Raw genomic sequence first — 22,131 nt, forward strand, 5'->3', positions numbered from 1 at the left:
GCAGCCCAAGGGACACTGAAGGTTTTTCACTGGACTCTGGAAAATGGGAGTCAAGTAACCCAGTCAGCTTTTTCCAACTCCTGTTCTGCTCTAAAGCTCACAGTAGAACCTAGGATTTGTGTTCAGACCACTAGTCTGATTGACCAAGAGCTGAGATCCCATGAAGAGACTTTCTTCACCTGTCATTGGAGTTCCTAGCCATTCCCAAGGGGAATTAGAGCTGGAGCAAACTCTTAGAGACAGATTGAGTTGGAGCTTGGGGTGGAGTGGTCAGTGTCTAGGTTCCCAGCCTTAAAATTCTGGCTTCTCAAGTTTCCCATTAAGCCTCCTACTTGAACTGCTAGTTTGAGATCTTTGAACCAGTTCTGGTAACTCACCCCCAGGTGTTGTCAGCTGCCTGTGATCTACCACCACCACCCCTCATCTCTTCCTGGCCTTGTCCTGTTGGACCACCCAGCTTCCACACTTTAGCCATGTGAGTCTCTGTCCCAGTCCTTAGTCTAGAATGCTCTTTACACCTAGCTGGGGAAGCTTTACCCATTATCCTTCTGTCTCTAGAAGGGTGGGCATCCCCAGAGATCTCTGGATTTTCAAGATCAAATCTGCTCATCAAGCCCTTGGTACTACATTTTTATCCTTCATAGGACTTAGTTATGGTTTGGGATTTGGCTGAGACAGATGTGTTTCTAATACAAATGGGTCAAGAGAACAGGTATCTATGACCCATGGAGTATAGGAATGTGAGTTAATCAAATGCATGACCATCACAAGGAGACAAAAGCTCTCAAACCAACACATTAACAAGTATACTAGGAAAATCCCTGCAGGGTGACAGTTGAGGCCCTTAACAGTTACACAACTGTGAGGGGTTCCAGGCATGTAGACCTCCCTTTCTTTCCTACCCCTGAGTTTAAAGTGAAGTCAGTATGCCATTCATCACATCAGATCAGGGACTGAGATAAGTACTGTCATCTGCCTTACCTTCTCCCAGATGGGTCCTAAGAAAGCTAGGTACCCAAAACAGGTGCTGTTTTAGCAAAATACAAGGTGGTCCATTAGTCAAAGGCTTTAGTATACCAAATCCAACGAGCTAAGCACCAACTGACATTTTTCTGAAACTAGCTTCAGACCATGGCAGCTACTGATCTTAGCTCCAGGGACCTTGTCCCCATTTTGAAAACAAACGTGCTAATGTGGACTTCTTGCACTGGGAAAGACTGAACCCAAGATCATTTCAGGGAGATTGATATTCCACAAAGCTCCATCTACCAAGGAGGCCCAAGATCCTAGAAGTAGGTGAACATCTGCAGAGGAACCTGTGAGTTGAGAACAAGCCTGCTCTCAAGAACGACATTTTGAAAGAAGGTAGAGCTTTAGAGCTTTAAGAACAGTAGGATGAAGACCAAGGGACGGTAGAGCAAGAAGAAAAGGAGTTATGTCCTTGGAAGGAAGACTTCAGGAAGGGGTTTATCTGAACTGGTCCAGTCCCTGGATCTTTTTTTTTTCCCCCCAGCTGTAGGATTCAGGATGTGAAGTTGCTTTGAGGCATCCTAGTTTAGGCTGCATAAAAAAGGTTATACATATCCTCAAAGCTTTTCCTAATCCAGGAAAGCATGGATGTTCTAAGCATGAGTATATCTCACTTGTTCTCAACAAGCTGACTCATGGTCTACAATCATGATGCTTCATGTCTGAGATGGCTCCCTCACAGTGCCCTGTCCCACCCCTGAGCTCATTTCAGTTCTGTCAGTCATCTTTCATGGTCCTTATACTTGAGACAAGAACCCATTTTCCTCTCAAGTTCTTAACACCTAAAAGAACACTACACTTAACTGTTGAGCCTTGTAGCTACCGTTAAGAACATTTGTGTTGTACATAGCCAACTAGGATAATGAGAACATACACGGGCATCACATTAGCATGGTTGTGACTTGACCATCACCCCCCAGCCCACATGTGGTCTGCGTCATTCCCTCCAAGTCATCCTGTTCTGGGTTCACGCACCCTCTGGATCCCTCTTCCTGCTTTGGCTTCCGAGTCTGTCTTTGGAATCAGTTTAGCTTCTGTCCTTAAGGCAGAAAGACTTGCCCCACACACCCCCAAACAGTGCAGAAGTCACTTGCTGCTGCAGTTGAGACTCATCTACCCCTAAGAACATACACAAGGCTCAAACCAGTGGCAGTAGTCCTCAGTGTCTCAGCCTTTGGAAGAACCAGGACCTGGCTGACCAGTGTCTCTCTAGGTGCCTCCTAGGTGTCACTTCTGTGATCTTAGTTATAACACGGCCTTGAAGTCTTCCACAGGTCTCCAACTGAGATTCACTCACTGGGTTCTGCACATGGCTAGCAGCCCTTCATGGGCAGGTGTAGTGAAGGAAGGGAATGGTCAGTTATATTCAACCCTCCACACTCACCTGTTCCTTAGATCCAGGGAGGTCTGCATTGTCACCGAGATGTCCAGGCTACTAAGGTGCTTTTCCCTTATGAGCATTTGCTGGCTTTAACCTGAACCAGAATGGACTGACCAGGATAGGCATCTTGCTGTAAAAATCCTGTTGTGTTGGAGATTATAGCAGGATCGCCTTCCAGGAAGGGCACTCACCTGAGCACAAAACCAACTTAAGGAAGCTTGAGTCCTTGACACATATTAAACTTCTAGATAGCTAACACTAAGTCAAAAGAATATTTCCTTTATATTCCTTTACCCAACTTCCCCTTGGCATCTAATATATCCATATACAGCTATCAGAATTAAGAAGTTAGCCTTGATAAAATGTCAACTAAGCTATGGAATTTCAGACTTTAGTTTTCACTAATGTTTTGGTTCCAGAATCCAGTCTAGAATACTATGTTGCATTTAGTCATCACAGCTCAGCCTGACTGACCCTTTTAAAGGGTTCTGGTCAGTTTTGCTAAGTGTTCCTTCAGGCTTGGCAGGTGTCCTCATGATTGAGGTTACACATTTTGGGGAGAGGTATTACAGAAAGGATACACTAAAAAGGGCTCTTCACATCAGGTGGTGTGAAAGGGAAAGACGTCTCAAGGCAAGTTATCAAGATGCTTTATAGTGTCCTGAAGATTCTAGAATAAACCCTGATGCAGAACACCTTAGGCAACCCTGTTAGCTCCTGGAAACGTTATACAGGGAGTATTTGTTGATTGGAGGGTTGTATAGTTGGACAACATAGGTTAATGGAGTCATGTTCTTATTGGAGCACAATAGAACTGACTCACTCTGTTCAATATTTGGCCAGTGATTTGAGTAGTGGCAGGTCTGGTCAATAACAACATCCTTAGAGCTAGGATTATTCCCAAGGGCAGTCAGGGGCTTCTTCCAGTCTTATCCATAAGTCTTAGAAACAAGGCTAAGTCAAAACTTAGATCTGCCAAGAAAATGAGGCTTGTCTCAAATCATTTAGGTGAAGAGACTTACAGCCTAACCTTTCAGAATTCTAGTGTTATTGCCAGAAAAAAAATCTAATTCACAAGGGCTATCTCATAATAAACATTGCCATAATGGTTAGAACTGAAGTAGCATTCACTTCATACTAACTGTGTTGTCAGATACAACATAACATCCCATGAGGTATTTGGGATATTCTAGTAGAAAACATCTAATTTGCTAAGTCTAGCAACCCCAGTTGGAGGCCACATCTGAGGAGTGGATGTTCAGTCGTGGGTATTTTGAGAGACAGTGGGATTGGAGCAGACACTTTATGGACTGGAACGTAGTAATTTGTCCAGGCAAAAAGGGAGGTGCAGCAGATAGATACATGGGAGTAGGAGAGCCAGCACTATGCAATGCTCTGTGCAGTCTCTATTCCAGAGCCCCCACAGAGCTGTCAGACTTGAAGGGAAAAGTGAGGAAGTAGAATTGAATGGGGAGAATCACTGGGCTGTGATGCCTACCTAGCACAGGTATAATTCCAACAAGCCTTTTGCACTCCTAACTCCATCTCAGCATCTGTTTGCTTCCAGTGCTGGTTGGGTTTTCTAGAAGATAGTTTTCAGTCAAAACGAGGACCGTCCAACACAAGTCACAGGCAGATTTTGTGAGGGGAACTGCCATGGGAGATACTGAGCACATCAGAAGTCACCAAATAGGTTGACCAATTCTCTGGGATGTTAGGAGTGTTATTTACACTAGCTTAGGCTTGCTAAGGTGAGTCTACAGACACCTACCTACATACTTAGGTTTCACTGAAATAGCGTTTCACAATCAGCGCTTAAGGTCAGTAGCAAGAAGCTTCTTTAAAGTATAAGCACTTAGTAAAATTTAAGTGACAAGCCAGCCTTACTAAGTTACATCTGAAGTAGCATACTTAAGATTTATTACAACATGTAACTATGAATCTCACTGCATGTTTTAGATTCACTCTTAACTCTAACACTTGCCATGGACTAGGAAGTCAAGCTATTTTCAAAACATGTCACCTAGAATGCATTCACTGACTTATCCTCAATGAGTGCCAGTGAGGCATGTACAGATGAGTAACTCTCCAGCTCGTAAGCAAATCTCCACTGGACATAAGTCTGTTTCCTCTGTGACCACGTAGAAATTCCAAGCAGGTGGCACTGGCATTTCAGAAGCATAATGTTTACAGCAGTTCCTTGGTAGAAAGCTTGCTGTGGTACACTTGGGTAAACTCAGTTGAAACTGACAAATGCCTTTGAGCCATGAGATGTAAGCTGGCAAAACCCACTCTGGTGTTTGTCTTGAGTGACTTCAGTTAGAATTCAAGATAAGCCAGGAATAGGGTGATAACTGATTCACCCTGTTTAACTTTATGATCTGGGGGGCTGTTATACCTCCACAGCCTCAAACTCATCCACCTAAGTCTGTTGATGAAGTGATAGGGGTAAGCAGACAAGGAGGACCAAAGTTGTGGAAGGACACTTTACTGGATGGTTTAAGGATGTTATCTTTGAGTTAGAGCATTACTTCAGGTTTATATCCTTTAGTTGTATTTATATTGAGTACTATTGTTTGTGGGCACATGGTAGAGGGTTTCCAAAACTTAAATCCTAAATGTAATGCTATTGGAAATTCTAGGTAAACATGACAGATCACATTTCTCCAAGTTTTGCTCAAAGAAATTAAGAGTTATTAATTTGTAAGGACAAACCGAAGTTAACAGAATCAGGAATTTCCAGATGAGGTGGCATGCATGCCTGAAAGGAGCTCAGAAAGCCAGAACTATTTCTGCAGGAAGGACACAAAAGTAGACGAACCCACCCAATGGAACCTGCAGCCTCGGTTCCTGGGAAGGTGTGTGAGGCAGGATGGCTGAGCACGTGACAGCAGTTTCACCCTCAGCCCTTGAAATCTTGCTTCCCCTCCCCACGCTCAGACCCCTACTCCACTGAAGTCTGTTCTCTAGATGTTTGGCCAGATGCTGGAGTTCAAGACAGTGGGAGGTAGATCAACATTAAACTGAGTGTGCAAAACCACGGGAACTCTCACCATCTCCCTGCTACAAGAGCCCACCAGCCAAATTCATGCTGTAGTCTGAACAAACTTTCTACAATCCGTGCAGTTACCAACAGCTCACTGTGTTTTGACTGCATAGATGCTGCTTGTGGGAGTTGGAGGTAGGTTGCACGTAGGAGGAGCAGTTTTAGAAAAAGTTTGAATCTCTTCCCCACTAGATGACCTTATAAACTGCTTGTAGAAGAAGAATTCTACCTCAGTTAAGGCAGATTAGTTGATGGCATAGTTATTTGAAAGTCCTCCAGCCGTAGAGGGTGAGACCTCACTTCAAAAAGAGTACCTAAGTGCCTGGGGTGAGGACTGCTGACTTACAGCTGTCTAAGGTGCTGTGTTTCACCATTCTGTGTTCCGACCTGTGGTCACTGACTGTGGACAGGGGTCATGCATAGACCCTAGATGTCTGAATATAGACATATTGTACAACTCTAAGGTGCCGAATGCAACCATATTCAAGTTTGCTTAGGTGCCAAGTCTACCTTTGGTTACTGGGGTGCCCACGGTTGCATTGAAAGTCCAAATACAAGGCCAGCAACTCTGCCTGGTATTAAGTTGTGATTAACCCAGTCAGACAGTCGCATGTTGCCTGCTTTAGCACAAGGGTCCCTTAATATTGAGTATCAGTATTAGGCTGATAGGGTTACCGAGTAATTATGATATAGATGGTATGTTTTCCAGCAAAAGCAGTTTGAACGTCCAGGAAGTAGGAGTAGGAGACTCACTGGAGCCCTTTCAAGGTACCTCTGCCTTTAGGTTTCTTGCCTTAATACCTTTATCCCATTCTCCCCAAAGGCATCTGGTAGAGCTCAGATGCCAAGTTCATATCAGAATTGTGATAGGTTCAAAGCTGATCTTCAACTTTTCATACCTCATTGCATTCTAAGTACAACTGATGCTCAGAAGACATCCCCACTTTAGAGTATAAGAATGGCTGATATGGTTTTCTATTCTTGTGTTAGTTTGCTGAGAATGGTTTCCAGCTTCATCCATGTCCCTGCAAAGAACATGAGCTCATCCTTTTTCATGGCTGCATAGTATTCCATGGTGTATATGTGCCACATTTTCTTTATCCAGTCTATCATTGATGGGCATTTGGGTTGGTTCCAAGTCTTTGCTATTGTGAACAGTGCCATAACAAATGTGTGTATGTGTCTTCATAGAATGACTTATAATTCTTTGGGTATATACCCAATAATGGGATTGCTGGATCAAATGGTATTTCTAGTTCTAGATCCTTGAGGAATCACCACACTGTCTTCCACAATGGTTGAACTAATTTACACTCCCACCAACAGAGTAAAAGCATTCTTATTTCTCCACATCCTCTCCAGCATCTCTTGTTTCCTGACTTTTTAATGGTCACCATTCTAACTGGCGTGAGATGGCATCTCATTGTGGTTTTGATTTGCATTTCTCTGATGACCAGTGATGGGCATTTTTCATATCTGTATGTTCTCACTCATAAGTGGGGGTTAAACAATGAGAACACATGGACACAGAGGGGAACATCACATACCGGGGCCTATTGGGGGATGGGGGGTTGGGGGAGGGTAGCATTAGGAGAAATACCTAACGTAGATGAAGGGTTGATGGGTGCAAACTATGGTACATGTATACTTATGTAACAAACCTGCATATTCTGCACGTATACCCCAGAACTTAAAGAAAATACAGCTATATACAGTCAGGATACCTGGAAATCTAAATTTACTTGAAAGAAGAAATAGAAGTTTGAATCTTCACTGTCTACTTCTAAAAATGAAAGAAAATTTGGTAAAAAAAAAAAAATGGCTGATATGGTTTGGTTGTGTCCCCATCCCAATCTCATCTTGAATTGTAGGCTCCCATAATTCCTACATATTGTGGGAGGGACCTGGTGGGAGATAATTGAATCACAGGGGCAGTTTTCCCCCATATTGTTTTGGTGGTAGTGAATAAGACTTGAGATCCAATGGTTTTAAAAGGGGAAGCCCCTTTTGCTTGCCTCTCAATTCTCTTGCTGCCACCATATAAGAAGTGCCTTTTGCCTTCCACCATGATTGTGCTGCCTTCCCAGCCATGTGGAACTGAGTCCATTAAACCTCTTTATAAAAGACACACCTGAAACTGGGTAATTATCAGTATGAAAACAGACTAATACAATGGCCTAAGAAGTCAAGGTCACACAAAGGCAGAGATCAACTGGGTTTCAGTCTTTGTCCACATTTTTGACCAGGTGGAAAACAGCATCTCATCACCATAGAAATGACAGTCCCGTACATGGTAGGTGCTTTAGTGTTGAATGGACCAATAGCACTGGATACCAAGCATCTGTGTGACACTAGAGGCACACAGATGTGTCATCCTCAAAGGAATTTCAGACCAAGCTGCTACCCCATGGTAGGGGCCCTATGGGAGGTCTCTCAGATTAGATTGACATCTTGTTTTCTGGTCTTCACCAGTTCTCCCAAGGCTGTCCATCCTCCATCCCCCTCCTGTTCTGTTATCAGCCTCGGGTTGGGGGCTGATATTGGAAGGGCTCTGATAACACTCCTTAAGTGGCAGCAAGCTGTAAACATTCCCACTGATGCCATTTGATTAGCTGGCTGGGAAAATGCCTGAAGAAGGTCCTGGCTTGTCACTGAGAGACAGGCAAAGGTGTCACATGGAGCTGTTGAAAAGCAAGCAGGTTGGGGCCACCACTGTGGCATTATATAAAGCACTTGGCTCCAAGACAGACCTCTATAGCATCGCATGTGTGATCTGCCAGGGTGGCTGTGGGTTTATGGTTTTGGTACACATGCAACAGGAACATATTCATAGCCCAGATAAGTTAATGACCTATTAGTGGCAAGTGGGGATAGAGATAAAGCCGTTGTGTAGAAGCCTACCCCACATTCCAAAGCCACAAGCAATTTTGTTTAACACCCCAGTTATATCCTATTCAAATAACCTCCCTGTTAGAAGGTTGCAGTTTCTAAATACATGTCTATTGAAGGGAAGACAGAAGGGCTAGGGAACAAGGCTTAACCATTTTCTGGGCATGATCTTAGGATGTTAAACCCCTGGAGCTGGAAGATCAAAGAATAAGAATTCAGCCATCATTTGAACTATGAGTTCAGTTCAATTCATAGTTCAGATGATGGCTAGAGAAATATAAAGGTAGGACCGTATAAATGTTACATTTAGGTTTTTCTGCCTTCTATTAGAAAACAGTGCTTATCTAGACATTCTGCAAGGAACAATGGTTGGAAGTAGACTTGACATTTGTGTTTGATTTAGGAATTTAATAGTTCATGACGCATCGGTAGGCAGAAGGGATTGTGTAAGGACAATTAAGTTTAAAATGCCTGCCAACAAGACAACATTGAGGTTTGAGTGCTTCATATCTTGTCAAGATTCCAATTCCCTGGGCGATTCTCCCTGGTAACATTCTGCCTCTTAGAGTTAATGAGAGGGGAACCATTGGTGTGAAGGTATGTTTTTTGGAAAGCAATTTAACAGCTAGTAAGAACTATACCTGGCACTCTTAAAATCAGCACCCCACTCCTGAAAGTCTACCCCATATAGATATCCGTTCAAGGATTTGTGTAGTGAGGTTTATTCAATGGTTAGGGACTAAAACCCCCAAGAAAGTTTAGGTCAGGGAATGGGCATGTTACTTTAGACCATGACACACCATTGGAGTGACTGAGCTTAAGTTCATCCACTTAAGATTTGCACCCCTGCCCACCCAGACATTAGAAAATCCACCCAGGTATGTCGTCTACAAGGAACCCACTTTAAAGTCACAGATAAGTCCAGGAATGGGAGGACTCCTGACACTGATCAGGAGAGAGCTGGAGTAGCTGTGTTAGTGTCAGGCAAAGGTGACCGCAGAGCAGAGAATGGGGGATGTTACATAAGGGAACGATTGCTCTCCAAATAAATTTAAAACCATGTTTGTCAGATTCCTACTGAAGGCCCAAAAGCTCAGTGGGATAAGTATCCCGAGAGTTGATATAAGCTTTTGTTTCTTACAGCCGTCAGTGCTCATGAAGGGACAGCCTACTGTCCAATTCCTGGTGAAGTGGACAGTTTCACCCATAGGTCCAGCTTTGTACCAAACGTCTCTTGTGAAAACTGTCAGTCGGTACACAGGGCATCTTCTCAGAGCAAAAAAGCAAGTTAAGTAGAGAGAACTAAGGGCACGACATCCTTACCCATCCTTTGATAACAGGATTATAATCTAATCTGGGTACAGCCACTCCTTACACTTTCTTAGGGAGCAAGAGCCAGGGAGAACCTGGTGTTGCTCCAAAGTGAGCCTACATAAATTCTGTTCCATAACTTTAGATACGTCTTTGTACAGCAGGAGGTATAGGCCAGGAAATCCACCTACCAAATCCATTGCCTTCTGCTCATATTGGTTACAAGGCTACAGTCCCAGGTAGATAGGTTACCTTTGAAGGTCCTTAGAGTAGCTCCTAGAAGTGGGCTCTCAGGAGAGTCCCAGCTGTCAGCTCTAGCCTTGCTGGGCAATTTTTCTTAAATACAAGGGAAGTAGCACACTGAGAAACTTGCCACCACTGGAGACAGAAGTTACAGATTCTGGCCGGAGTATAAACAGAACGTTGAAACCTGGTGTTTCATGCCTAGTGTTTCATGCCTACTTTAAGCGTTTAGTATTTCTTAGAGGTCTTATGTCAGGGTGAAGTATGGTGTGTGTACAAGGATGTGTGTGTTTCTCACAGCACAGGCTGGACAGGGCTCAGTCTCATCCTCCGGCCAGCACTAGGAGCCAAACAATCAGGTTGTGCACCCGTGGCACACACCCAGCCTGCAGGAGTAGTGTCTGGGTTGGCCTGCATAAGGACTTTCAGAGACCTGAATAAGGATGCCAATGATAAAAAGGAGTCTAAGAATCTGGATTGTATTCCCCTCTAATAGAAGCTAGAGTATTCTGGCTACACAGTCTTTATTGTGGCCTCAGAGAGCTAGAACGGACTAGGGCTGTGCTACTGAATAAGACATGTTCCTTCCAAGCCACGCCCTACCTGGCATTCCTTAACCTGTCTCATATTTGGTTCTTAGGAGGGCTTAACACAGCTTAGTGTTTATGGCATACCACAGCTCCCAGAAATTGAGTATCAGATGATGTAACTGAACAATGAATCCCCTACCTTTAAAGCTAGGGTTGCTTTAATGAAGATTCTGGAAGAGTGACTAGCAGGTATAGTATGGTTGGCTTAGTGTGATGTAATTTGAGATCTGACACTCAGGCATGATGGAACCTTTTTTCCTCCAATAGGAGGAGTGTCTTATCTAGACTTAAAAGGTATATGGAAGAAGGTCTGTGCCTCCCTGTAACATTGGGCTACATCTGAAGTCTTTGTTCAGGAAGTCTTTGCTTGGTCTTTAGCCCACCCTTCTCCAAAAGGTAATTTTTGTAACTAGAACCATTCTATTTTTTTTTTTTCTAGCAGACATCTGTTCACCTAGATGGCTATTTTCAGCATACAATGTTGTGGTTGAAGTTATATTGAGCCACAAGATGCTCACAACCACCTCTGGCACTTGCTTATAGAAGCAGTGAACCTAACTCAGGCAACCTATTCCTGGTTTAGGGCCTCACGTTTATAATCAGTTACAACTTCAGGAAAGGATTCCAAGTTAACACTTTCCAAATATGGCAGCTGAGATCTGCCAGTTTAAAGCTCAGGAGACATCCTATTGGTTGGAAAGGACTTGGGAAGAAAAGTTCCTTTTGTTTAGTTCATATAGTCTAATACTGCTGTGCTAGAGAGCCCACTTGGTGAACTAGCCAAAGTGCCCACTCATTGCAGAACTCAGTCTAGTCAGGCAGTTTGTATACGTAAGATTGTTACTGGCAGTGATACTCTTGCTCCAGCCTTCAGAGAAGGGAGGTAAAAGTCACTTTAGCATGAACCTAGTGCTAACTCAGTCTTTACTTCTAGCTAGACTGTTTTGAGATTCAGGGGAAATAGTGTTAGTGCCTTTGCACTACTTAGAAAGCTAGAGTGCCAAGTAGGGTTCACAGTATTGAAAGTGGATCTTTATCACCACCCCTCATTGCTTCTCAGCTTCCCTTTCATTGGGTGGCAGTGCTCATTTGTTCTCCATCACTCCCATGAAATAGCTTGTTCTAAGGGTCATACTGCAACTCAGATCACCCTCAGGTTAGAGCCCACAAAAGCCACCCGATAGAAGTCAAACCTTATCCCAAACGTGGATGTGGTTTTACATGAGGCCTGCAGCTTTGCATGGACAGCAGCCTACGAAGCTCCATCCAGCTCAGAGGAGTCCTTTGATGCCCATCTCCAAGGGGGATGGAGATATGAACACAGACACAAACCTGATCTGTTCCTATTTGCTGGCCTCCGTATTCCCGCAGGAAGAGAGGGTAGAGAAGTAGTAGTTCCATGTAGAACACCAAGGCCCTGGCTAAAGGAAGGCTACCTTCACACTTCAGGGATGTGTAAAGAGGAACCTTTGAAATACCTGCTCCTGGATACTACACTGGACAACCACTGGCAAAGAGTTACAAAAGATGTAGTCCAGATATAAGGACTTCATTATACGTACAAGGCTATTCCTTGTTCAGGAGAGGCAGCTATATACATTTGCAGTGGAACATAGTTTGTCCTTTCTGGAAGAACATTTAGCAGCAGCTAGGACTCAATTACACCTAACACTCAAAGTCAGAAATCACAGTCCCGCAGATCTCATGATCATAAGAGCACTGGTTTGCAGAACACACAGGTAGTAGTATTTCAGGGTTTAGAGGCTATCCCCCCCAAAAATGCCAACTCTCCTTAATTTGGCAGGGGGTGAATTTAAGGACCATAACATTGAAGTGACTGAGCTGTATTCCATTAAGTTTTGGTCAATTTGATCTAGCTATATCAAGTGATATAGTGTTAGGTATAATTGAGTCCTATCAAGTAAAATATATATGTATGTGTGTATATATATATAGAGAGAGAGAGAGAGTGTTAGATCAGCATTAAGTAGGTCTATGAAAGTCAGACCACGTTTATGAGAAACCTGCTTTAAAGTTATGAATATAGAGAGCAATAGCATGTTGATACTAGTATAGCTACTCCAGCTTGCTTTTGATTCGTGTCAGGCAAAGCCAACTATAGGACAGATTTTCATAATGTCTGTTATCATTCCTGATAGAGGGGACAGTTCTCTAGGTAGAGAACATCCTGATGTTATGTACCTAATAAGCAAAACCTGGGATGAAGACAGCATTTTGAGAAATAGACAAAAGTCATCCATAGTTGGAGACTGTGGTCGCCCCCACCCCCGCCAACCCCAATTAGTAGTGGACAGAGCTAGCAGGCAACAAGTGATAGCTAGATCAGTAACAAGTCAGACTAATGAACGTTAGACCACTGTTTTAGGAACAGTGGTCTATGAAGGGATTTGGCAATTCAATCAGCAAATTGTTTGCCTGATGCTGGCAATGTCAGACCAGGAGGATGTTGGAAGAAAGATATCACCATTTCCCAAGAGACAAGACCAGAAAATGCCACGTTGTTGCTTGAGATTCTGGTTCCATCCCTGTCCATCATACAAGAAGGCGGCTCAATTTCTAAAGCTACCTCAAGAGATGACCCTTAAGATAAGATGCACGAAGAGGAAGGAGAAAACAGGTTGATGTTGGCAGTGAACTAGCTGAAGCAGATCTCTAAGACCTTAAACAGATTTGATGCAGTACATGAGGCCTTTGAAACCCTGACAAGCAACATTGAAAGACTCAGGATATTTGGAAGGTTGGAGTCTTCAAACCAGAGTATCATGTATGTATCTGAGTCATGCAACAGGTTCTTCCTGCTAGGAAGTTTTATACTGCATCGTTGGCAGTGGTATCAGACCCGCCAGTTAGCCTTGGCGCTAGCCATGCAAGCAGCCGATATTGCCATTGGCATCTATAATCCCTGGAGCAGCTGGTGATCACAGAGCAGTACCACCGCACTGAAACAGCTGCAAGCTACACCAGAGCTGCCAGCCCTCAAGTTCCCCATGCAGTTCCACTCTGAAGCAAGACCATGGACCCCTCCCTTCCACCCTCACCCCCAAACCCACGCACACTAAACCCCATTAAGAACACTTCATTCTACAACAGGATATTCTTCTAGAGCTCAAATAGAACATTCAACCTACACACCATGTTTGGGGTTATAGAAGAGCCAAGCTCAGAAGAGGCAGATTCATTGATCTTGTTGTATGACCATGTACACAGGCACATGAGAATTTGTTCCTACCTTCCCCACAACCACCGACCTGGAATATACTCAGTAACTTAAGACTTTGTGCCCAAAGTATCTGTTAGGTCTTCATGGTGAACCCGGAGCTGGAACACTTAGTCAGAGGGGCCTGATATATGGATTCACATAAGCCCAGCAATGGCTTAACCGAACAACTTCAGCTATAAGAGTAGAGCCTTGATTCCAAGCTTCTTATTCCTTAAATGAGACCATAGCTTAGCTTTCCAAGCTATACACCTTCCTTTTACAGATACTGATCATCCTGCCTATGCACAGGCCCTGGAAACTGAAACTGCCCAGACCCCCAGCTCTTGACTAGGCAGCCATGTTTTATCACATGACCAATATCCAGGGCCCAGGTGATTGGACTGAAGTGACCACCTGGCTCTCAAATAGCTCACCTATTGGATGACTGAGGACCTGGTAATGGAGGAAGGGGCTGGTCAAGTGGGAGGTGTATTTAAAGACAAGCCACACAGCCAGCAGGAAGAAAAGAAAAGCGTGTCTTGATATAGACTAAAGGTCAGAAGAGACCTCACCAGAACCTGGAAGACGCCAAGGAGCCAGGCCTTCAAGTTGTTTAATTCATTCCCACCAGGACCCTTTCAAGACAATCCCTGTACCTGGGGCCCTTGAGGGTGGCCCATGGACATAATTAAAGTTAAAATCACGTTTGTCAGATTCCTACTGAAGACTAGCAGGCTTCTGTAGTCCTCTGCCCACCTCCTAACTCATTTCTTTCAGCAGCTGCACAGCCAGCTCCCAGGAAGCCACAATAGTGGAGAGTCAAGCATGATGCACATTGTAGAGAGGAACAGGAAGCTCATGGGTAAACAAATTTGACTTCCATAATGACTGGAGCTCATGCTGCTAAGAGCCAAACAACTTCCCCAAACCAAGAGAGTCTCCATGCCGGCATTGCCGCAAACTAACGGAAACTGAGCATAGCTTGGTTTTCTTGACTTAGTCTTGATTCACCTTTAAAGTGGTGATGTAGTATGGACCCAAGGGTTATATAGTGTAGTGAGATTGGAACTATTGAGTTATCTAGAAGAGCTGAAGGTGTTTAAGTGTTTCAGATTCAAACTTCCATAGAACCTTGGCCATGTGGAAGATGCTACTTTGTTGTATATTCAGTTCCCTTTCAGGCTCCTTATGACTAAGCAGGATCTCAGTATCCCCAACTACCACCATAGTGCCCAAATGTAATAACTCAAGTATATGCGAAGAGGTACCTGCCGCTATAAGCCAAGGATGTTTAAAGTTACTGCAGTCTAAAAATCTTAAGCACATCAGATAGGCACAGAATGACTCCAGTCAGAAGTTCTGTGGATGAGGCATCAGTGACTTCAGACTCAAGGTCTGTCTGGACCTTAAGTAGTATCACCTGCCTGATTATGAGTAGCTGTCCTTGTGAGTCTTACAGGATGTTCATGACTGCATTTAGGTCTCACCATTTCAAGAGGTGGAGAAATGAGACTCTGGAGTCACAAAGCCACGATGGAAATATGGGAGTCTGACCACAGCTTGGACCCACCAAGGGCCCTAACATCTCAGTGGGAAGCCCACTGAGAAAACCTGAGTGAAGTGTTTCCCAATGTCAGTCTTTCTGTGGCAGGATTCTAGTGTTCCTTCCCAAGGTAGAAATCCAAAGCAGAAGTGATCACTCTCATGTCCCAGGCACTGATAGGAGCAAGGTAGTTCTGAATACATGCACATCATGGAAATTACACTGGAAGAGGCATTTAAGGATATGATCCACTGAAATAGGCCATTCAGGAAGTTCCCAAGACAGAAGTTAGCTAAAGAACTGATTCAGGAGTGCTCATCTCCTGCATCCACTGCCTTACATAAGCGAGGCTGAACTGAACCTGGAATAAGACATCATACTCAAGACTAGCTTTGTCACAAGGTCCCTTGTGGACTGTTGGGCAGTTTTCCTAAAAGGCATGTCCCTTAGAGCAGGAAAGGAAGCTGAATGAGGGGTAGAGACTAAGGATGTAAGGCAAGATCCCGTCTCATCTTTTGACAACCTGACAATATTGGAGTCTAGTTTCCTGAATGCAGCCACTCCTTGCAATTTCCTGTTGAGCAAGGAAACGTGGTTGGGAGACAGCAGTCTTGCTCCAAAGCAACCAGAAGATAGGTCAAGTCTTGCAGCTTTGAGTGTGAGTAGGCCAAACAAACCACTTGCCACCAAAACTATTGTCAACTGCCCATGCCAGCCATAAGGCCGCAGCCCCAGGTTGTCACAGAGACTTCCTCTGAAGACCCTCAGAGTAACTCCCTAGAAGTGAGCTCTTCAGGGCACGGAGCCCTAAAAGCAGTTTGGCTGCCACTTCATAGCCCAAGCTGCACCAGGCAGTTCACTTGAAGACATAGAAGCAGCACATTAAGCCAAAGTTGGGCTTGCTGGCACTGAAAACAAGTTGTAAGTTCTGTTTGGGGACTTAGACAAAATATTTAAGCTAACATTGTTTTATACCAGGCTTCATAATGAGGTCTTATGTTGTAGACAAGAATTTGCTGTCAAGTGCAGTGTGTATAGGGATGCAGATTCCAACAGAGGATTTTGCAGCTGGGCGGGGCTCTGACTGCTCCTCCGGCCAGCACTAGGAACCAGTGTCAGCAGGTTGGACACCCGTGGTACACATCCAGCAGGAATGTGTCTGGGTTAGTTTTCTGCATACAGATTCAGAAATCTGGATGAGGCTGCAGCTATTGTAGAAGGGAGTCTATAAAAATCTTAGTTCTTGCTCCCAAGAAGCTAGGGCAGCCCAGCTACATGGGGTCTGCACTCTGGCCTCTGCTGGAGTACACAAGGGCTGTTCTACGAACAGGACATGTTGCTTCTGGCCAAACCCTGCCCGGTATCCCTTACTTATGGGATTTGGTCCTAGAAGGGCTTATGCTTGAGATCCCAAAGCAAACTTAGTTTATAGCATGACACAGGTTCCAGAAAAATGGGGTTAAATCAGTATAACTGAACAATGTAGCCTCTGCTCTAAAGCTAGGCTTGCTTTAATGAAGAAGGCTGGAAGAATAGCCTCCTATGGGTGTAGAATATTTGGCTGAGTCAAGGTCTTGAGATATGACAGTTCAGAGTCCTATCATGATATGGGAACTCTGCCTGGATATAATATGGGACTATAAGTATTTAGGAGTCTTAGACGTAAGCTAACTTTCATCCACCCTTCTTGTAAGGCATAACTAGAGCTACTCTGGGTTTCCTGTGAGCATCTCTACTTCCATCTAGAGAGCTATTTTCATTCAGTATACAATCCTGTGGGGCTAGAGGTGGTACTCCAAGCCACAAATGAAGCTTTTGGTAGTAGCCTCCAACACTTACAGATGTGAGACCCTATCCTAGGAACAGAGATGAGGTCTGCATATTTACTTTGTGAGCATCAGTTGTTACATGATGGTAACATCCCCTTAAGTAGCATTTCAAAATAAAGGTAGCCAAGAAATCTCATGCCACCTTAAGGCTCAGAAGTATGGAGATTTCCCTCTTAGGAAAGGGGCAACTGGGGAAGAGTGGCTTGTGTTCAAGTTCAGACAATGCCTGGTACCTGCTCTGTGCTGGCCCAGGTAGGATTGAGTGGTCAACAGAAGTCTCCACCCCTTGTGGAACTCAATCTAGTTAGAAACAGTCACATTTACAAGATTGTTAGGGGACTATGATACGTGATACTCTGATTTGTTAAAAGGTGGAGAATTGAGCTATGTAGCTCAGATAGCCTGAGCTTAGTACTAGCTCAGTCTTCACTTCTGGCTGCAAGATACCACACCTTTTGAGATTCAGGGAGGGGAGAGTTTTAGCAGCACATAGTATCTGTTAGTGCCTTTATACTACTAGAAGGTTAGGTGCCAAGTGGGGCTCAGAAGCAGACCTTGATTAGCGTCTCCCCTATCCATTTTGTCAAGGGGCAGGATTTGTGTTCTTCGAACATTCCTGGTAAGGTTTTTAAACCAAGAACAGCATTGATACAAGTCCCTTAAGGTCAAAGCCCACACCCCATGCAACTGTAAGTCAGCCTCAAGTTGAGAATGTTTGCTCTGAGGCAACTAGCTTTGCATGGAAGACTCCCTGCCCGTCTCCATCTCAAGAGTCCTTTGAGTCCCATTTCCAAGCATGAGATTCAGGAACACCTGCACAACACAAAAGCCTGTTTGCTGGTCTCCATTTCCCTACAGGAAGGGGGTAGTGAGAAGTTGTTCCATTTAGAACACTGAGGCCCTGGCTAAGACTCCTTGTTCCAGGGATGGACAGAGAAACATGAAATGCCTGCTCCACAATGCTATGTTGAACAACCAGAGGAAGTTATAGGATCTCACAGGTAAGAACTATCACACATAAAGGAACTTGCTGTGCCTTGTTCATAAGAGTTTATGCATTCACAGTGGGGGATGAATTATCCTTTTTGGAAAGCAGTTTGGCCAACAGCTAGTAAGACTTAGTTATATCTAAACACTCTTGAAATCCAGCAGCCCCAGTTCTGGAAATCTATGCCATAGTAATGGGAGCACCAGCTTGAAGACCTACAGGCAACAGTGCTTATTCAGCAGTGGGTTTAGGGGCCAAAAACCAAGGGAATAAACAGCTTTTGGTCTGGGGGTAGGTGTGTTATAGGCCATTACAAGCCATTGAAATGACTAAGCTAGTCTGTTGACTTGTTTCAGACTATTAGAACTGGACTGAGAAATCCACTTAAATATGAAGTCAGTTTAGAAGGGAGAAAGGTGTGACATGTTCAATCAAAAGAAACCTGGAGCTGACTAGAGCAGAGAAAGTTGTCATGAATGATAGTGAGCATTACATGCAAGGACAGTCCAAGAAGTTGTCTTTGTACCTAAGAGCATCAAGATGAAATGTGAACTGATAAGACAAATCCACTCCTGTAGTTGAGGATGTCAACACCATCAGTAATGGGCAGAACCAGAAGGCATGGACATAACTGATCAGTCAACTGGGCTTTGTGACCACTTATACAATAGTTTGTTCCTGTTGAAATAAAGATGTTCACTCCACTGAACAGTCACCAAGACCGACCATGTTTTGGAAATAGGAAAGCCAAGCCCAGAGAAAGCAGATCCCTGTCACTTGCACTTTTAAGAAAAACTGAAGTTTTGTCCACCTTCCCTATACATACCTCCAAAGAGGGTAGCCTGAGACTGTCCATGTAAAGCACCTCTTAAGTGTTCATTTTGGGTTCACGATTTGTGAAGATCTATTTCGGGGTGAGAGGTGAGGATCCGTGCATTCATCTGGGCCCACCCATGACCTGAGACAGGGGCAGGCAGGCATTTCTAGCTACAAGACTGAAGCCTTGCTCCTGAGTCATACTTTAGATGCTGGGGACAGTCATCCTGAGATTGTCTCTTCCTGGACCATACATTACTACTATTTTTTTTTTTTTTTTTTTTTTTTTTTTAAAGGTACTAGGATAAGCATCTCCCTGCCTACCCATCGTCCCTGGGCACAAACTGCCCAGACCCCTGTTCCCAGTTAGGCCATGTTGTCATGCCTCACAATCACTATTCAGGACCAGCTGATTGGGCTGAGGTGACCACCTGACCCTGGAGCAGGTAGCTTACTGGCTGACTGCTGAGGACCTGGAAGAGGAGGAGCTGGGTCAAGCTGGAGGTGTATTTAAGGACAAAACCACACAGCAAGGAGGACAGAAGTGGAAAGCTTCTTTTGCTATAGAACAGAGGTCAGAAGAGACTTGACCAGAGCCTGGAAGCCTCCAAGAAGCCAGGCCTTCAAAGCTGCTTCAGTTCGATTCAATTCCACCAGGACCTTTAAGACAATTCCTTCTACCTGGGTCCCTTGAGGAAGCACATAAACAGGAAGTACACAGTAGGAGGATTCTGTAGACCGGTACCCATGACTCACTTCCCTCAGCTACACAGCAGGCTCCCAGGAGTGTGGAGTACATAGCTGCCTTCCATCCTGGTCAACAGGGTGATGAGTCCATCCTGACTCATACTGTGGAGGACAAGCACATGAAGCACATAACTAAGCAGTCAAGCTAGGTTTTACGGTGACTCGAGTCTATATGGCCATTCAGGAGATGCCACTTGTGTTCAGTTTCCTTTCTGGCTGTGGCTTATAGAAAAGCATCCTATTTTTCCCCAATATCACCCCACCTACCACCACCTTAGTGCCCAGCTATAACTTGAGCATATAGCAATGAGTATCTGCCTCTATGTACCATGAACATCTTCATCCCACTTCAGGAAAGATGGAATAACCTTATGACAGACCCCATCACACAGGTTTTTTCCACATGTGTGCACGATATAGGACGTTCCACTTTGTTTCCATGATGTATGCTGTTATATAGCATATTCTTTGCTTCCGAGTTATGACCCAGTACTCACGCAGTAGTACTTGCTTCTTGCTCCCACTAACACACGAGTCGTTCTCCCCTGTGTGGCACCAGGGGCTAAGTCAAACATTAGCCCAATAAATATTGTTGGGGCCAGATGAAGTCATTGCCCTGAAGTTCATGGACCTGTGTCTAGAAACAGGTTCAGAAAACCCCAGGCCAACCATGTGTATCCCACAAACTAGAAAACCAGCAGGCTAGACTCCTTCAACTGAAGGCTAGAAGTCCTCCAGGATGATTAGGCTTCATGTTCTTCCCATTGTGATGGCCCTTCAGGGAGTTGCCAGATACTAGAGGTACTTCACTTTCTGAGTCCAGTTACTCACTACCCTCAGTTCTCAGTTGTAGGTTGAAGGTTTCCTCTACCCTCTGAAGAATATGTAGAGTAAGTGCCCCAAGGGTGGAAGCATGCACCCCAGGAGTTGACGGTGGATTTTTTTTTGTGGGTGGGATAGGCATGGTCAAGTTGTTTTACTGAAGATCATAACTTCAGGCAGGGTCAGACATTAAGTTCAAGACATTGTTGTCCAAGACATTCTTATATGCCCACTTCATTTTTCCTTCATAAGGGCTATCACTACCTGACATCGTGTGTTCATCCAGAACATTTCATGCAAGCAGGGACACTCCCACACTGCATCCTCAGCACAAAGAATCTCTGTAGCATGGCAGGCATTCAGCGATCTGTTGGAAGGATTACTCTACTACATTCCTAGGCTAAGAAATTTGTTTTCATATCCTGTTTTAAGATGTCTTGGACTAGCAGCCTCACATCTTGAGGGCTTAAAAGTTAGGCTTCAGTAGATTTGAAGCCATCCCCCTGATTCCATAGTTCCTCACCTCAGGCTCTGTAGTCCCAAGTTGAGATGTGAGCTTGGATTTAAATACAGTATGTGGAAGGAGGCCATCGAGCAAGCAGTACCCAGAGGGCTGGGGGCTTGGTCATCATTGCCTTTGGCAGCAGTTTGTCATTGCTGGATCACTGGAGGGCTAGCACGAGCCTGGGATGGGCTTTGATGTTCTGGTTTCAGGAGCATCTGTGCAGTCACCCACAGGTCACCTGTTAGCCGGAGGAGTTCAGTATCCCTGAAGGGCTGAAAGATGAAAGCTGGGAGAGTTACAAGGATGAAGACAGAGACCCCCTGGAAAGAGTTAAAGGTTACTCAGCCTTAGGGGAAGATTTGCCCCGTTCGAGACCCTGACAGCCGCCAATTGCTACACTACACCATCCCCGAAACCCCTAAGGTAGGCAGTTATTCATTGCTTTTGTGAAAGGTTAAGAGACTCACACAAACACAGCTGTTGGCAACAAAACCCAGACTAAAACATCCCTGAAGGCGAGACAAGGTTTCCTCACAAAACCTCACATTGAAAGACTAGGAAGACACTGGTCTCACATTTAGAAGTTGTGCAGCTTCGCTCCAAAAACTGATGCATGAGCCCAAGACAATCTCATCTTGGAGGTCTTTGACTTTGCCATCTCCAACCTCATAACCACATTGAGCTTAGGTAAGGATAGGGACTTCCAGAGCCTGGCCTCTTTACTCTCACCCAAGGGAGGTTCAGGGAAAGACAAGTTACCAGGCTGAGCCAGCTATTGTTTCAGAGCATAGAGCACTACTGTTCCAGCAGTGTAGAATGTTGAAAACAGACTTGTTACAACCCATCCTCTTGACTCCCTAGGGAATACCAAGTGTTTGCTATATTGCAATCAACTGCTAGTAGCTGCCAGGAATATGGAGAACTCCAGATCCATGTAGAAGCTCACTATAAGCCAAGTTCCGTGATGGATTAGCAATGTCTACCACTGGTGCAGGGAGGAATGGTGGCAGGACTTGCCATGCAGTGAGCAATTCTCACTCCATTTTCAATAGGAAAGGGAGGGCTCAGGACTGTCAGGATTGGTTTCCTTGCCCTTGATGTGGCACTGCCCTGGTCCCTACAATTCTACAAGAACATAAAGGGGGGGGGAAAAGAGTAGGTAATCCTAGCAA

The 22,131-nt window shown here is 44.6% G+C and overlaps 3 annotated features.

Moving 5' to 3' along the window:
* Positions 3,594 to 3,763: an enhancer, noted in NCBI's record as "experimental_24844 CRE fragment used in MPRA reporter constructs". NCBI's record gives its function as "activates a minimal promoter by MPRAs in K562 erythroleukemia cells, with activity observed for the introgressed 12:114585772 variant allele {active_cell/tissue: K562}" and the evidence as "EXISTENCE:reporter gene assay evidence [ECO:0000049][PMID:34662402]".
* Positions 13,756 to 13,925: an enhancer, noted in NCBI's record as "experimental_24865 CRE fragment used in MPRA reporter constructs". NCBI's record gives its function as "activates a minimal promoter by MPRAs in K562 erythroleukemia cells, with activity observed for both the introgressed and non-introgressed 12:114595934 variant alleles {active_cell/tissue: K562}" and the evidence as "EXISTENCE:reporter gene assay evidence [ECO:0000049][PMID:34662402]".
* Positions 18,943 to 20,142: an enhancer, noted in NCBI's record as "P300/CBP strongly-dependent group 1 enhancer chr12:114601036-114602235 (GRCh37/hg19 assembly coordinates)". NCBI's record gives its function as "activates an origin of replication core promoter dependent on BRD2, BRD4, P300/CBP, MED14 and CDK7 cofactors, with strong dependence on P300/CBP, by STARR-seq in HCT116 cells {active_cell/tissue: HCT116}" and the evidence as "EXISTENCE:reporter gene assay evidence [ECO:0000049][PMID:35650434]".

Source organism: Homo sapiens, chromosome 12, assembly GCF_000001405.40.
Source record: "Homo sapiens chromosome 12, GRCh38.p14 Primary Assembly".
NCBI lineage: Eukaryota > Metazoa > Chordata > Mammalia > Primates > Hominidae > Homo > Homo sapiens.